Consider the following 17775-nt stretch of genomic DNA (forward strand, 5'->3'; position numbering starts at 1 on the left):
TGCTACTATCAAAATTTTTGTCCACATGTGTTTGTAAATATACACTCACAGACAACTTGTGACTTAGAGGGACACCGTGGAGTCTCACAGGCTTTAGCATTAGAGGGATATGGGTTCAAATCTAGCTTCTGCCACCCTCTAGCTGAGTAACTGTAGACAAAAGCTTTGGTCTCCTTGTCAGAAAAATTGGGATATTGTATCATTATTTACCTTATGGGTTGTGAATTTTAGAGAAAATTAGTATAAAATGCCTAGTATAGTGCTCTCAATAAATGCACACATGCTATCACTGTCTCAGGCAGTAGGTTCTATTGAATCACATTCTTCTACAACTGGAAAACAGCAATGTAGATGATCTCCTAGGGGTTGGGAGGGGATGATCTGTGAAAGTGTTGGAGCCATCTAGACACACTGAGTGGAGATGTAATTTGAGCCTGGGAGAGAATTCTCAAGTCAGTTCAAAGGGCTATAATTTCATTAATTCAAAATCCCACTTAAGTTGGGGAAAATGAGGTCCTAGGAGAGAAGCCAGATGTCAAGGACAAGCCCAGTTAGTGGATGAACTTTTTTGTAGCCAGCTGCCTCCCCAGGGCTCCCTGAACAAAGCATGCATTGTAGCTGCTGCGTGGGCCCCATGGCAGGAGGAGTACCCGGGAGCCAGAGCCTGGTGCATGGGGAGGAGGCGGGCCAGGGCCGCAGGGAGAGGCTTGGATGCCCTGGAAACACAACTGGATCAATTCAGCCTGACAAAATCTTTCCTCCTGCTAAAATTTTCCTCAAACAGAACAAAAGGGAAAGTCAGAGCATTTTTGCCAAATCAACCAGAGAAAGGAAAGCTGGCGCAAAGTTAATCACTATTTTCTTCCTGGCTGTCCAGGCCAGAGATACCCATGATGGGAGCAAGAACACTTGTCATCACCCGCTTGGTCACTATGGATGACATAGGAGCCCTTTCCTTGCAAACAAGCAATACAGAAAAGGAAGTGCCTGGGTCCCAACCCTGTAGGGTGCAGCCAGAACCCACAATGCACTATTCTCTGCAGATCAAGAGGCTTCTAATCTTACCTTGACTCACCGCCTTATCCAAACAGCAGAGCCCCTGCAAAACCCCTCTTTTGGAGAAGGAAATCTCGGGTGGGATAATTCATTGCAAACATCATTGATTAGTCCAGGGAGAGGTCAGGAGCTCCCTGGGGCAGGCACATCACTCTAGTCATGAAGGAAAAGACTCCACCATGGTGCCCTTTAGCATCACTAAGAAACGATTTCTAGACTGCTGGTCTGTCCTGCCAAAGCAAAATTACTCACAAGATATAACAGGCACTAGGTACAACAGTGTAGCACCAGCTTTTGCATAAAAAAGCTTAACTTTGAGTTGGGGATATGCCACTTCCAAGCAGTTGAACCTTGATCAATGCATTGACCCTCAGGGAGCCTCGGATTTCTCATTTATGAGGTGGACAGAATCAGAGGATGGTGAACGGCGTGGAGCAGAGGCAAGGAGGGTCTCCTTGGCTCATCTGCTGGGTCTGCTGCAGCCTACAGAGAAACCACAGGCTGTCGTACGCACATAACTCAGTAGTCCACTTCCTCTCTGGGACACACAGCAGTCCACAGCCTTGCTCCCATGGAGACAGCCAGCACAGCCTGCAGGCCATCAGCCCAGGAAGGGAACTGGCAAATTTTAGAGCACTAAGACGGCAGCTGATACAGATACTCGGTCGGCCCAGGCCACACCAGCATCCAGGTGACTGGGTCCTGCCAGATGGAGCATGGGACAACATAAAACTCCCAGCATCCACTTCTCTAAAGGGGAGAGTGTGCACACTAAGCCCACAGACACCTTCACGTCCAACATCGCCATCAACGCACCCAGGGCAGGGCAGTTCCTGGGATGTGGACCTGAGCCACAGCCTGGCCTTGTCAGTGCACCAGGTTCTGGGAGAGCAGCCAGACACAGAATGGTGGCAGATGCTCCACTCCTTAAAGAAACAGCAAATTGCGCAGTCCTTCCCTATTTCCCAGGCCTGGGGACTCCTCACATGAGCATGGTAAAAAATTTATATACTTATTCAGAGGTTTAAAAATCCCCCAAATATATAAATACACCAGCAAATCAAATGGCATTGCCATAAGGAGAGCATCCTTGGAATTTATCTATCCGTCTTTCAATTGGCCATTTAGCTCAGTTTGGGCCCTTAACAATACAAGCATGATAAGGTCTCGTCACTGTGTCTCCAGGATCTGATCACTGCAGACCCTGGGCAGTGATTAGGGAGCATGGGCTCTGGAGGACCAGCGCCTCTGACTCTCTATGGCCCCGGGCAAGTCTCCAGGTCTCCATTGCCTCACCTCTAAAGTGAACGTAGAGTCTAGAACGTAAGCCAGTGCGTGCTGACGGTCCCCACACCGCACTGCCAGGGGCCTCGGGCTCTGCTCTAGCAGCTTGGCCTGGACCACGGAGCTCTTTGACCAGGACCTGCTCCACCTGAGGCTGATGCCCTCATGGTGCTGCCTGGCCCAGCCACGCCCATGATCCTTTTCCAGGGTCCCGGAGAAGGAGAAGAACTTCCTTTCTGGTCCTTCCCATTCTGCTCCTGGGTTCAACCAAGCAGCTTCTAGGCAGCTCTGATGACTCAGCAGCAGTGACTCACAGGTTCCCAGGACAGCAGATGAATCCTCTGCTTCTCTGGCTCCCTCTCCGTCCCCTGGCTCTTCCTGGCAATGTGCTTTCACTCAGCCTTGGGCCCACTTTCCCATCCCTCTGGGGACATACCCCCTCGCTTGTCCTGAGACCCACAGTTGAGACCCACACCTGGGCTCCAGCCTCTCTACTGTTCTTTTTACTTCCCAAGCTGGCCCATGGTCCCTTCAGGCTCAGCTCTCCAGGGATCTGCTACCCCGTTCCTGCCTCCGGGACCCACTCCACCCTCCTGGCACTGGCTGGGTCCTGGTGGAGGAGCTACCACAGGCAGCAGAGAAGCAGAATTCTGCTGAGAGCTGTGACCCGAGGACACTGGGCCCCACCAAGCCCACGGTGCAGACCCTGGACTGCTAGAGAGGATGGCAGCACCATCCCCTCCAGGAAGAGCCACCAGGCCTGGAGGAAAACCTGCGCCTCTGAGAGCCTCAAAGGAGCTGTGCCAGTCAGAAGGTGCCGCTCAATGGTCCTGGTCCTCTGGGGGTGACAGGGTCACACTGCGAGCCGGACTTTACACAGCACATCAGTGTGAAGGATGCCAGCATCCTTGTCTGTCATCTTCCTAATTATGAGCCTGCTCAACCCCTCCCCAGCCACCTAGCTCATGCAGGGCCTTCGCTTCTTTGGGCCTTTCCCTCCTTCATGCCATGAGAAGTAAAGGCCAAGAAGGGTCGCAGGACATAGGCCCTGGGGGCTAGGAGCAACCGCCAGTGTGGATGTGTGCATACTAAACCCAGGGCAGGGCAAAGAGAAACACTAGGACCCAGAAACATCTGTCTCAGAAGTGCTTTCATCCTGCTGGGATACACTAAGGTACAGGCAGGAAGAAAGCCCCATGCCTGAAGGGGAAGCTACTGAAGACACAGCAGGTGGCTGAGCAGTGCCACAGGTGACAGCTCACTGCTGGGCTTGTTCCTGCACTACCTTCCCTGGTTTGTCCCCTGGGATGCTGGGGAAAGAAATTATGTTGGGATTTTTTCTATAAATAATTTCCTGTCATTGTGTGTAATGATTGGCGAATAATTTCACAACAACTGGCTGTTTCTTTGTTGCATTCTAAACTTGAGCAGCACTGTGGATCATCAGCATTTTCTGTCTCCCCGCCATTTGAAAAGAACAGTTTCCTGGGACAATTCCTTGAGCCCAGGTCGAGGCTGCGGTGAGCTATGATCACGCCACTGCTCTCCAGCCTGGGTGACGAAGTGAGACTCCATCTCTAAAATATAAATAAATAAATAAATAGCAAAATGTTTCCCTTTCTCCATAAGAAAAATGCTTTTAAAAATTTCTCCTCAGATGCAAACATGTTAAACCCAAGTAAATGTCCCTTCACCTGGGTAGGCCTCAAAGGAAAAGTTTCAGCCACCTGAAATGCCAGTTAGCTGGTCAGCCTGTAAGACGCTTGTTTATTTGTAAAGAAATAGCCCATTCTGCGCAGTCTCAACAGTGGCCCTGGGAAACGGCAGCCCTGCTTTTATTTTTAAACCTCAAAGTTCATCTTAGAGATAAAGCTTTCTTTTCTCATGAGAGGCTGAGTGTCGTACATGGGTATGAAGGTGTAACATAGGCCTTAGACAATCATTTGTAACCTTAGAGGCAACAGGAACATTCAGAGCTGCCTGCCAGGCCCAGACACTCAAAGTGCTACAAAGTCGCCGATCTTTGTGCTTTGGGAGATCAAGTAGTTCCCTTCCCCAGGGCTATATTTCAACCAGGGTTGAGTTCATCTTTGTGCTTGTTTTTTCCCAAATAGCTCACTTTCTGATTTTTTTGGCTTAATAGTGAGATTATTTAAGAGGCACCAAAAGAAAAAGCTCAGTGAAAAAATTGTTTTAGCAATAGAATGAGTTAGTATGAATCCCAGTGCTCATCATAATATTGACTGTTATACACATAAAATACGAATGGCGAAAGAATAAGAGGGGTTCCTTTTTTCTTCTTCTTCTTCTCGAGATGGAGTCTTGCTCTGTCGCCCAGGCTGGAGTGCAATGGCACGATCTCAGCTCACTGCAACCTCCGCCTCCTGGATTCAAGTGATTCTCCTTCCTCAGCCTCCCGAGTAGCTGGGATTACAGGCGTGTGCCACCACACCCTGCTAATTTTTTGTATTTTTAGTAGAGACAGGGTTTCACCACATTGGCCAGGCTGGTCTCAAACTCCTGATCTCGTGATCCACCCACCTCGGCCTCCCAAAGTGCTGGGATTATAGGTGTGAGCCACTGCGCCTGGCCAAGACGGGTTCTTTAACAGTGGAAATAGAAACGTCATCTTCTGCAACGCTGAGCATCTGCAAAGCCCCCCACAGACAGTCTACTCAGGTGAGAACTGAATTTCCTCCCAGAACACTCTCTCCATTGTCATCCTTCCTTCCCCGATCCCAGGTGAATACATGTGGCACAGAGCCCCTCAAAGAGGCCTTCCATTCCCTTGTCCACTAATTTGATTTTCAGAATGTGGAGCCACGTGCCCCCTGGGGCCTGGCCTCTGCTCCCTGCTGCAGGTGCAGAAGCAAACAGACCATGGGGCCATGAAGTTTAACAGGCTGCCCAGGCCCGGGCACTCAGACCCTGCTGCTTCTCCCACCTCCCACCTCGCACCTCCCCACAGCCTTTTCTATCACACAGCCAAGGATTCCTGTTCCCCATCCTCTGTTGCTTATCATTTCTCCTGACCCACGCACAGAAGGGACTCTATTTCTAGGAGCATCAGAGAGAAGCTTTCAAACTTTTTTGCTCATGACCCACAGCAAAAAGTGCATTTTCTGTTGCAATTAAGTGCACATGCACACACAGCTGACTCACATCTAAGTCAAAAGTTTCAGGAAGCAATACTTCCTTTCACTACCTGCAAAGCCTTCTGTTACTTTCTGTTCTACTCTTCCCAGGCCGCACCACCCCCCACATTTCAACAATGCTCGTTGAAATCCACGAAACTGATTTCCCAATCCCCTAACGGTTTATGGTCAGCAATTTGGAAAACACTGGCTGAAATACTAATGAAAGGGCATCGCGGGCCTTCCCTGATGCGAGGGGAGGAAGGAAGGCTTTGCTCAGCTCTACGTTCCCACAGACCCACTTTTCCTGCCCTTTGCCCCACATCCCACCTGCCACTTGTGATTAAATAACAGTTTAACATCACCAAAGCTCCCTTTCACTCAAGAACTAACTCAATTAGGCTTGAGCTGGTGGGAGCTTAAAGCAGATTAAGGGAAGACAAAGGAGGCTTTGGGGTTTATCTTCAGCTTTCATGTTCCTAGGAGCTCTCTCTTCCTGTGCTGAGTCTTAAGCATCAAAGGGAGGGAGGCAGGGAAGGAGAGGAGAGGGGAGGGGAGGGGAGGGGAGGGGAGGGGAGGGGAGGGGAGGAGAGGAGAGGAGAGGAGAGGAGAGGAGAGGAGAGGAGAGGAGGATGGAAGGAAGGAAGGGGAGGGAGGAAGGAAGGAATGAAGGAAAGGATGAAAGGAAGGAAGGAGAGGAGAATGGAAGGGAGGAAGGGGAGGGAGGAAGAGAAGAAAGAGAAGAAAACTCTCCCAAGCCCCCATCATGGGCTGAGGCCAACCAGCACTGCACTGGTCACCCCCACTTTTATTTTTAAACTTCAAAGTGCATCTTGGAGATAAGGCTCTCTTTTCCCATGAGATGCTGAGGGCTGTGTTTGGGTGTGCAGGAATAACGTAGGCCTTAGACAATTACTTGTAACCTTAGAGGTACTGGGAGGGTTCCGGGCTGTGCTGGGCCCAGATACTCAAAGTGCTTCCTGAGGAAGATGTCCGTGGTTCAGCTCAGGGATGGGCACTGCTCCCCACGCTCCTCCAATGGGGCAGCTCCCTGCTCCGACCCCACCTCCCACCTCCCCCAGCAGCTCAGACAGCCATCTGTGCGGCAGATGAGCTGCACACAGAAGGTGCTCGGCAAACACTTGCCGAATCCCCTGAAATGGTCCATCTGGGCCCCTTTACAAATCGAATTCTTTCTAGATCAGTGGCGCCCAACAGAATTATAATGTGAGCCACACACGTCATCTTACATTTTCTAGTGGCTAACTAAGAAGTAATAATAATAAAAAGAAACAGGTGAAATTAACTTTAGCAATATACTTTGTATATAAAAATCATTATCATTCCAACATGTAATCGTATAAAATTTGTAAGATTTTTATAGTCTCTTTTTCTAGTACCAAGGGCTTGAAATTCAGTGTCAGTTTGGAATTGCCACATTTAGAGTGCTCAGTAGCCGCATGGGGCTTGCAGCTACCACCCTGAGCTGCAGCTCTGAACTCTAACCAGGACTCGGGGCAACTGGGGCCCAGGCTGGAGCTCAGCTCAGAAGGAAGGTGCTAGGTGGAGTCCTCCAGCCACAAGTCACAAAGCAGACTGTGTTGGGGGGCCTTTGCCACTGCACCCCCCTCCCCACCGTCCTCACTTGCCTTCCCCACCTGGCACTGTATCTGGTGGGAGGAGATGGGCAGGGCGTGGGAACAGAAGGAATGGATGAGGACTTAGAGATGTGTGAGCAGCTCTCACAGCCATACACTGCCCCTGCTGGGGAGTCCATGTGGACCCCTCAGCTGGGACTGACCCCATCACCTGTAGTGAGACACACCAAGAAACACGCCCCATCAACACAAAAATGTCTGCTAGGCCAAATCTGGCACAAGCTTAGTGACAGCTGAGTTAAATTACTGTATCCATGGTGCAGTCACCAAATACTTGCAGCCCTCAATCATTTTCAGCTGTCTTTTTGGGGACAACAGAGACATATACAGATTGTCAATTCAACATGAGCTCATTTTATTAGACGCAATCAGCCATATGGCACTTTGCGACCAGTAGACGTGCTCCTTTGACAATCAGTGTTATTGAGCCTGCTCAGTAATGAGTTAGCTACTGGTCTTGTCTTCCCTTAGAAGAATCCATTTAACTCCTATGAGTGAGTCAGCTTTTTCCTAAGTGACATCTTTGAGGGGAATGCAATGCCAGCTTGTCACATGCCAGGCTCTGGCGCTCAGTTCCAGAATGTTAGAGCTGGGAAGGTCTTGGTTCTCTCCTAGTCCTGTGGCTTTTGAGCTTTACTTTCTAAGTGCAAAACTTTCTTTCAAATGAAATCTTATGGGGAGGCCTGACTAAGACAGATTCTTCTGTAGGAGCTGGAAGGACAGCACAGAGCTCTCCCTCCCTTCCTCCTCCCCAGGCACCTCTGTGTGGTCAGGGTTTATTAGAAAACCAGCAACGCTAGGCAAGCCACTCATTGTACACATCTTAAAAGCAGGACCCAGAGCAGCTGTGTGTGATATAGTCACACTGTGCCATGACAGAGCCAGGGTTGGAATTCCACTCTCAGATTCTAAGACCTCTACTATTATTATTATTATTATTATTATTTGAGATGGGATCTTGCTATGTTGCCCAGACTAAAGTGCAGTGGCCCTTACAAAGATCTCTATTTTAGTATTTCCAGAGAGTTCCATGGAAGATCTTTGAAAGATACAAATGGTCCCACATGTAGAAACAGGTTATCATGAGGTTTGTTAGAGTTTATTGAGTGCTGTGTGAGAGGCCCCATGCAATGGCTTTCCATGCCAGCCCACAAATTTCAAACTGCAGTAGGAATGGCATTACGTTCCCAGCCTAAATGCAGTTATCCCTAACTGCCCTCAGGACCTGGCATCTAGAGGCTGGGGCACCATGGGGTCCCAAATTCTCTGTGCCCTGAGACCTTGAGTCTATAGAACCAGCATGAATGATATAGAAGTTATTAAGAAATTGTTTTAGGCAGTTAGTGTGGGTAAAAGAGTTCTCAGTGGAATTTCCTTTTAATAAAAAGCAGCCCCCAAACCATTTCTTTTCTAACAGAAAGCAGCCCAAAAGCCAAGCTGCAAGCATAGATAAGCAAGCTGGAAGGTCACATGTGTAAGTGCCAGCAGCTGTACCTGGAAGCCAAGTACATTCCAACATGGTGACTTCCCCTCCCTCTCCTTGTTGTCACCTGTGCAGGTGTCATGGCACCACCAGGTTGAGGCCACATTTGCATAATAAAAGATTAGGGTGGGAGGGCCAGTTTCTTCGAAGGCTGTGTAAATGACATACCTGGCCAAACCAATCCCCTGGGACCTACGTAAATCAAACACCGCCTCCTCAAGCCCCTCTATATAATCAACTGCATCCCACCCCAAACTTAGAAACCCTCTTGGGCACCCCCTTCCTCTGCCTGAGGAAGCTCTCTCTCTCTCTCTTCTTTCTGTGTCTATTAAAGTTTCCGCCCCTTAAACCTACTCCGTGCGTGTGTGTCCATGTCGTTAATCTTGTCGGCTCGAGACAACGAACCTCGGGTATTTCCCCAGACAACGAAGCCACTTCACTCTCAGATTGGCTAATGAGGCCCCTGCTACTGTGGAGCTGGCAGAGGTTTTAGTGGGAAGGGTCAAGAAGGGCCTTCATGGGGCCCTGGGGGTTCCTTAGCAACAGCAGCAGAGGGCTGTAGATAGGTCTATGGATGTCAGGGAAGACTCTAACTGGGGTGGGAAGGCAGATTCCACAGAAAAGGACAGCTAGCTAGCGATAGTCAGGTTCTATTATACATCTGGGAGACCTGTACTTGGCAGGCACTAAATGGGCTATGAGCTAAGGCCTGGGCTGGACCCTGGGGACGGCCACGACATCTGCCTACCAGAATGGGCAGAAAGACCTCCGGGGATGCATCAGATTCTTCATCTGCCTCCCCATCTGCTCAGACTGTCTCTAACCACCTACCACCATTGTCCTGGTTGAGCAGAAGAGGAACATAAGCCAGGCCCGTGTGCAGAGGTCCATGCCTGTAATCCCAGTGCTTTGGGGGGCTGAGGCAGAAGGATCACTTGAGGCCAGGAGTTCAAGACCAGCCTGGGTAACACAGTGAGACCCTGTCTCTACAAAAAATAATAATTATCCAGGCATGGTGGTGTGGGTCTGTAGTCCTAGCTACTTCGGAGGCTGAAGTGGGAGGGTTTGTTGGGTTCAGGAGTTCAAGGCCACAGTGAGCTATGATTGTGCCACTGCACTCCACCCTGGGTGACAATGAGACCTTGTCTCTAAAAAAGAAAAAAGAACATAAGCCGATATCAAAGACCACAGAGGTGCAAGTCAGGGCCAAAAAGGGACCAACAAGGCGTTGCTGGGCTTCCCTGAAGGAGGTCCTGGAGCCCCCAGAGGCTGGCCGGCCTGGGCTAGGACGGGGCTGTCGTTATGGCTCTAATCTATTGCCATTACCACCCCCACCCAGCCCCCTACTCCCCCACTCCCCTACATACACACCAAGTCCCTGCCTAGGTCAGGCGGGCTGAGCCAAGACAAACACAGCACATGAGCTCACTATTCTGAGGCTGCAGCTCAGATGTGCTATCTGAAATGTGGGGTTTGGACTGGGGTCTTAACCGGAAAAAATAAGCAAGAAATTTTGAAACAAAAGAAAATGTTAACTTGAACCATTTCAGGGATCACTTTACCTTAAAGCTGTTCAGATTCAAACATTGCTAATGGCAAAGCCAAGATTTAAATGGGCCCATTGGGAAAAGAAGTAAAATGGGGGGATTTCCAGGAATGGATAAGAAGGTTAGAATCTGCAGTACATTAAAATTTTAAAAGGATAAAAGGTAGAAAACCAGCCCCAGGAGATTGCCATGAACTCTGACATGAGGGGGTTGGAGCACAAGCCCCACCTTTCCTTCTGCAATTGCAGATTTCCAGGATTCAATTCCATTTCAATTGCCTCATTTCCTTTTTCTCTTTCTTTGTTGCACAGTGATAGTTTGGAAAGTGGGAGGGACAGGCTAGAGGAGAAAGGGCTGGGGATAATGGGAGACAGTGTGGTAAAGAGGAGCACCACAGTACTCCGTCCCTAAAGAAGGGACTCAGAATGGGCAGCTCCTCAGAGCCAGCAGGTGAGGCCAAGTACACCAGCTTCTTGGTGCATTTTCAGTGACAGGTCATTTTCCTCCTACAAGTGCGTGTCTCCCTATCCAGGGAAAGAGCAATAGTAGGTGAAGGTTGTTAGTTGCCTGAGCAGAGAAATGGAGGCTTGATGTTAAGTTGAGACCAGATCTCAGTGAGCTTTGAAAGCTGTGAGAGTTTGGACCTTATTCCATAGGTGAGGGTCCGCAATCACATACAGATCTGTGGATGCTCTGGAGGAGTTTACATTCTCACGAGAAGGACAAGCAATTAACTATCTAAGCTATTGCATTTAATTAATTAACCTTGGCAAGCCCTACCAAGGACAAGTATGAGTTACCCTGACAGCAGATAATGGGGACAGGACTTCCTCTGTGGTTACCGACAGGAGATGACCCAAATTAGGGGGAGGAAGAGCATGAGTTTAGTCTGGGAATTGTTGAGCTTGAAAGGGGCTGTAGATGCCCAGTGGCAAAGGAAAGCAGACAGTTAAAATTGGATTAGCTATGCCAATCTAGAGCTCAGAAAGAAAGAGAGAGCTACAGATATGGTTGGAATTGAAGGCATGGACATAGATGGATGGGATTATTTGGGAAGAATATAGAGACATATGAGGGTCTAGAATGGAACCTTCACAATAACATTTGAAAGTCAGGTAGGGAAGGATAAATCAGCAAACGAGACTAAGGAAGCATGTGTCTGATCCATTGATTATTGTGTTCCCTAGAACCAAGCCCAGTACTTGGCATAGAGTAATCAATAAACATTTATTGAATTGAAACGTATATCATCTTGATTGTCTTTTCCCAGTGAAAAAACAAGCTGTGTTAATCAGCTATTGCTGCAATGGTGTTGTGTAACAAACGACCCCACAGCTCAGAGATTCTCTAGCTTCACAGCTAGCTCCAGTCTGTTCACATCTCCCAGCTGGGGCTGAGCCTGAAGGGCAGTGGTTACTCATGCTCTCATGGCAAGCACTTTTAGAGCCAGTGCCCGCATCATGCCCACCCACATTCCATTGGCAAGCCATAGCCAATCCCAAAATCAAAGAGACAAGTCGTAGATGAGAATGAGCACTTACTTTAGACCCTGAGCAATTTGTGTTCAAATCCTGGATCTACCACTAATAAATGCATCAACTAAGTCAACTTACTTAACCTATCTGAGCCTCATTTTCCACACCTTTAAAACAGGTGTAATAATAGCTCCTTTAGGGGTCTTGAGGATTAAACATGATATACATGAAGAACTTATGACACCTGGTAAGTGAGAAATAACCAGTAGCTACTGTGATCTCTGACCTCCCCTTCTAACTGTAGCCCTGAATCTCAAAAGCTTGGATGCTTTAACCAGAGCTCCATGCTCACATCTCAGGTGGGGTTGTGCCCACATCCCCCAGCAGCTCAGGAGAAAAGCTCACCCTGAATTCCGTCTCTGAGACACACCCTGGGGCAGGAAAGGGAGCAGAAAAAATAATCAAGAAGTCTTGAGGCAGGGTCCAATTCAGCCATTTACCAAATGCCTCCCAGATTTGCTGGAGCTGATGTTTAGTTTTTATCCAGTCCAAACCCACACTTTTGCCTGGAGGCATCCTTATGAGAAGTCCTCTTACTTTCCAGGCCCAGCTTTTAGTTCTGCCTGTGTTTTGAGTGATACCAAAGTACTAATGGGGAATAAAATTATGCAAGCAGACAGCTTTTCCAAATGGGACTTTTCCCAGACTGCATTTGAACTAGACCTTGGCCTGAAACGCAATATCCAGAGCTTTCTTTGTAGCTTTCTTTATGGCTTGAGAAGTCTTTTTCCATGCACGCTTATGTAAAGATGAAGAATTTATAAGATTCAATGAGATGTCTGGCATCAGTCCCGGCTGTATCTACTGAAGGCTGTTTTCTTTTCTCCATATCCACTGTTTAGTAAATTACCAGAGTAGCCATCAGGAAATAGATGATCAGTGATATTGCCATCATCATTATTTCATAATGGCCATTCAATATGTTTTTCTTTATAGCTCTTAAGAAATGTACTTCTGTAATTCAGCATCCTTTCTCAAATTTTAAGCAGCAGGTTTTCTTTGACATTAATTCATTTACTCTACAAGTATTTATTGAGCACTTACCTGTGTCAGGCACATGGTAAGGGCTGAGAATTTAGTAGTAAATAACTACTGCAGCCACTGCCCTTGTGGCGAGTATAGATGAGGAAACAGAGTCTCAAAAAGAGTAAAGTTTGGCCAAAGTCACAACACAAGTTTGAGCTGAAATTGGAAGTCATATATGCCAACAGGACCAGCTTCATAACTTGCAAAGCCCAGTGGTAGATGAAAATATAGGCACTTGTCCAAAAACGACTAAGAATTTCAAGACAGCAACATCCAAGCATTAAACCAAGTGCAGGACCCTGTCCCACACCCAGGTAGCTGGCGCCGTGCTCTGAGTCATAATTTTTAAATCAGTTTTGACTAATTCTGTACTTAAATGACCATGAAAAAGTGATGGGAGGGGTGTACTGTGGAGTAAGGATGAAACCACCAATAATCTTGAGCTAAGGAACAAACAGGAAATTCACATATGGTATTTCTGTTTGCTGGCCCCTTTTTCAGAGTTAAATGTTTAGACATAGTCCTACCTTGATAAATTTTTCACAGCAGAACACCCCAACTGGGATTTCCAAATCCTTCCATCACACACGGAGGAGCTAGGATTTGCAAACCCACTTGTCTGTATACCAATCCTGTGGGGAAAGACCTTACACATGTAAATAGCCAAACCAGACCAGTGTATGAATCGGTTGGTCGGTCAAGCAAGCACTGACATACTAGCAGGAGTTCTGCCTGTGGTTTTTTTGGTTTATTTCTTTGCAAAGACAACATCAGCTACCAAAGAAAAGGAAACAACTCCACCCTTTACTTGAGATTGTGCACCAAAGTCAGCCTGATTAAACCAGGAGGTTTTGCCCTGTTTTCTGATGGAGATGTGCCCCTACCTTGTTCACTCTGCAGGAAGGCAAAGCATGGGTTTGTTGACCTCATAGCTAATTCATTTGACTGGAGCTAGTGTATGGGAAGATACAGGAGTAGAGGGGAAGATAGATGCACTAATCAGACAGCATACATGGCTGGCCTGCTATCAGCAGTCTGGCCTTCATCTCAACAGACGTTTACTCTACAAAATTGGAAAAACCACTTCACTCTCTGAGCCTGCTCTCCCACCTGTGAAATGGGAAAGTGGGACCAAGTCAAATAAAAATCTCCCAGTTGTCATTGCCATCTGGTAATCGTGCACATCCTCTGGGCTTGGAGCAGCTCCTCTTTCCCATAGTCCCAGGAAAGAGATCCTGGCTCTCAGAGAAAGTGAGGAGAGAACATTTTAAATGCCTTTGTTTCATAACTGCAAACCGGAAGGCCTTGCAGCCTTGACCAGACAGACATCTTAGGGAGGTTTCCTTCCCTCCTCTGATTCCCCTGGGGGACTGGGACTGAAAGATACAAACTGAGGTCCTGCGAGTAGTCATTGCGACCAGTCCTCATCTGGGAAGTGTGTTCCCACAGCACTGGGAGCTGTCCTCTGCCAGCTTAGTTTTTTTTCTCACTTGTTTTAATGGTTCACACACCCACTCCATGTCTGTCTGATTTTCAGGCCACAATGCCCAAGTGTGACCCCAGAAACTCCTTGGTCTCACTGTCTCACAAGGTCAGGTGAAGAGGAAAGAGTAGCTACCTGTTAGAAAGGGTATCCTCTTTCCTTTACCCCTTCTCCTTGTCTACTTTTTCTTCCATTAGTTCTTCCATTTAAAACTCATTTTCAAAAGCTCCCAAATTGCTACTTGGCAGCAGATGGGGCACTGAAAAGAGGAATGACAGGAAAGGTGGAGCCCATCTGATTGACTTTTCCTCCTTCATTGCAACTTTCTCAGGGTTCTCTGCATTACACATTTCAAAAGGAAAGTTCTGGGCACCATCCTTGGTCATGGTGGGAATTTAATTGACTTGGACTCAGGTGGCACTGGAGCCAACTGGAAGCCACCAAGCTCTGTTCTCTCTCCAGTTCCTCAACTAACTAGAAGGCTGATCCTAAATGTAAAGCCCTTTAGATCTAAAACCAGCAGGAGAGGAAGGGTGGGTAGAAAGACCTGCCCCACAAGAGATTGTGAGGGTGTTGGAAGGAGTTCACCAAACTGTGAGCTCCTTAGAGGGAATAATGAGGCCAGGTGCTGAGTTTTTTAAAGTGGGAGGTAAAGAGGGGATTGATCAATGTGGGGGAGTAACAGAGTGAGAGGGGAATTTCTCTGCCCTTTTGGACAAGGAAAAATAATTAGTCATCCCCCCTCTGCCCACTTCGTAACATACATACATGTGTGTTACACCACAAATGGGTAAAAAAATAATAACACTAAAGTCGAAGTTTCCACCAGATTGGTAAAGTAGCTGTGAAGAATTTTAAATGGTTTTGAGTAAAGTTTCCAAGGAAAGGAGAGACATACCCTCACAGTAGTTTTTCTCCAGAAGGACTTTGGGCCCGTTTACAATCTCCCTCTTTCAACTTCTCAACAAAAATATCAGTTTGAAGTCTGATCAGGCACCTGCAGTAGAGTGTCCTTGCAGATGGTCCCAGGATACACAGCAGCCTGTCCAAGGGTTTATGTGTTTATTCTCTACTTCGTTCTCCTCACAAATCATACATTTGTGATGTTTCTCCTCATAAATCATACATTTTCTACTTCGTTCTCCTTTGTATCTGAGAATAACGTTCTCTTCGTTATTCTCAGTTACAAAGATCTGAGGAGGCATTCAGACGAAATAGATATGACAATATCTATGTGTTAATACACATGATTAAAGACTTTGTTGGTGCTGGAATACCAGCAAAATGATAGACTAGGAAGCTCCTAATTTGCATTTCCCCACAGAAGAATTTTTTAAAACCTAGAAACTTTCTGAACCAATTTTGTCACAGCACTGGAAAACAGTTAAAGGTTTACAGCAATCAAGTGAAGGCCCAATCAAGAAAAAGTCATCTTCAAAATGGCAGGGAAGTTTTGTGTTTTAACTCACCCTGGCCCCATCCTCTCCCCGGTGTGGCAGCAGTCTTTGTCTTGAAACACAGCAGCCAGCCTTGTTCCAATTTCCTCCTTGTAAACTGGAAGAATCAGAGCAGATATTACTTGCGAATTATTATATACATGTCTTTTAAACTGTCTGGGAGATAAGTGAAGGACTGACTCACTAATCTGTGTTACCTAACTCAGAACACAGCTGGAAAAATAAGTGGACACTGTTAATAAAAGCTGCAAGATCACTATAGGCTCATGGCCTGGGCAAGAGATTTTGAGTGGAGCCATAGAGTAGACCATCTAAGGCCCAGATGAGAAGCTGGAGTAAGACTCTTTGGGAAATTAGGACACTCAAAAGCAGCTGTTACGAGAGAATTTAGAAAGCCATGTGCATGCCCAGGCAAGACACAGGCTCACAAAGTCTGAAGAAAGCCTTAGGCTTTACCTGAAGCTGATCCCTAGGGTCTGAATAAGCCTCGCTAGTCTTGAAAGAGTGCTCTAGTACAGAGGCTATCTGAAAAGACTGCAAGAGCCCTTAGGATTGAAGGAAATCTCTGTCAAAGCATTAGCTGAACACAAACTAAAGGAATACAGACTTCAGTGATTACATGTGACAAGGAATAGTCTTGGGAAAACAGTCTGAAAAACTCTCAGACATTGATGCCACAGGCTTCAACAATTTTTACAAAAAAAAAAACACAAACAAACAAACAAAAAACAGTGACCTCTGGGGAAGGAAAAGATTCTGATTTTCAGAGTTACCACATTGTAACAGTGAGATGTTCAATGTTTACAAAAAACACAAGGTATACAAAGAAACAGGAAAACATGGTTCACGCAAGTAAAAAATGAAAAAAAAAAAGATATTGACAGAAACCAACCCTGTGGAAACCCAGACATCAGACTTACTACACAAAAACCTTAAAACAGCTGTTTTAAAGATGCTCAAATAACTAAAGGAAAACACAGGCAAACCACTAAAGGAAATCAGAAAAATGATAGATGAGCAAAATGTCAATATTACCAGAGACCAAAATTTTAAGAAATACCAAACAAATTTTGGAACTGTAAGTACAATAACTGAAATGAAAATTTCACTACATGTATTTAACAGCAGATTCAATTTCAACAGGCACAAGAAAGATATATGAACTTGAAGACAAGACAATTGAAATTATCTTGTCTGAAGAATGGAAAGAAAAAAGAATGAAGAAAAGTGAACAGAGCCTAAGAGATTTGTGGGACACCATTAAGAGACTCGTGGGAATCTAAGAGACTTGTGGGACAAACACAAATTAGGGAAGTTCCAGAAGGAGAAGAGAGAAAGGAAGGGAAAGAAAGAAAATTGAAAAAAATAATGGCTAAAAACTCCCCAAATTTGATGCCAGACATGAATGCACAAATTCATGAAACTTGATGAACTCTAAGTAGGATAAACTCAAAGAGAACCATACAAAGACACATTATAATCAACTGCCAAAAGACAAAGAAAGAATATTGAAAGTAGCAAGAGAGAAGCAAGTCATAACATACAAAGAATGCTCCGTAAGATTATCAGCAGAATTATCATTAGAAACTTTGGATCTCAGGAAGCAATGAACAGATAGCGTAAAGTGTTGAAAGGAAAGTGACCTGTCAAATGAGAATTTTATATGCATAAAAATTGTCTTCCAAAAATGAGAAATTAAGACATTCCCAGATAAACAAAAACTGGGGGAGTTCATTACCTATCCTATGGGAAATGCTAAAGGGAGCCCTTGAAGTTGTAATTAAAGAAAACTATACAGTAACTCAAAGCCATATGAAGAAATAAAGATCTCTGTAAATGTAAATACATGGGCAAGTATAAAGCCAGTATTTCTAAAATTTTGAACTTATTTTCTACTGGGATTAAAAAAAGAAGGGATAAAATAATTATAAATCTATGTTATTGAGCACACAATGTTTAAAGATGTCATGTATGATTTGTGACATTAATGACATGAAGGGGAGGATGAAGCTATGTAGGAGTAGTTTTTGTGTGTGATTGAAGTTAAGTTGGTGGTAATTAAATCTAATTGTTATAACTTTAGGAGGTTATATATGGTAACCACATATGGTA

At 46.1% G+C, this 17775-nt stretch overlaps 3 annotated features.

Annotated features, from left to right (window-relative positions):
- Positions 5348 to 6085: an enhancer, noted in NCBI's record as "OCT4-NANOG-H3K27ac-H3K4me1 hESC enhancer chr1:229163271-229164008 (GRCh37/hg19 assembly coordinates)". NCBI's record gives its function as "activates a minimal SCP1, AML or CMV promoter by ChIP-STARR-seq in naive and primed H9 embryonic stem cells {active_cell/tissue: H9 hESC(naive and primed)}" and the evidence as "EXISTENCE:reporter gene assay evidence [ECO:0000049][PMID:30033119]".
- Positions 9606 to 9900: a silencer, noted in NCBI's record as "tiled region #2676; K562 Repressive non-DNase unmatched - State 22:ReprW". NCBI's record gives its function as "represses a minimal TATA promoter and a strong SV40 promoter by Sharpr-MPRA in K562 cells {active_cell/tissue: K562}" and the evidence as "EXISTENCE:reporter gene assay evidence [ECO:0000049][PMID:27701403]".
- Positions 9606 to 9900: an enhancer, noted in NCBI's record as "tiled region #2676; HepG2 Activating DNase matched - State 5:Enh". NCBI's record gives its function as "activates a minimal TATA promoter and a strong SV40 promoter by Sharpr-MPRA in HepG2 cells {active_cell/tissue: HepG2}" and the evidence as "EXISTENCE:reporter gene assay evidence [ECO:0000049][PMID:27701403]".

Source organism: Homo sapiens, chromosome 1 (assembly GCF_000001405.40).
Source record: "Homo sapiens chromosome 1, GRCh38.p14 Primary Assembly".
Taxonomy (NCBI): domain Eukaryota; kingdom Metazoa; phylum Chordata; class Mammalia; order Primates; family Hominidae; genus Homo; species Homo sapiens.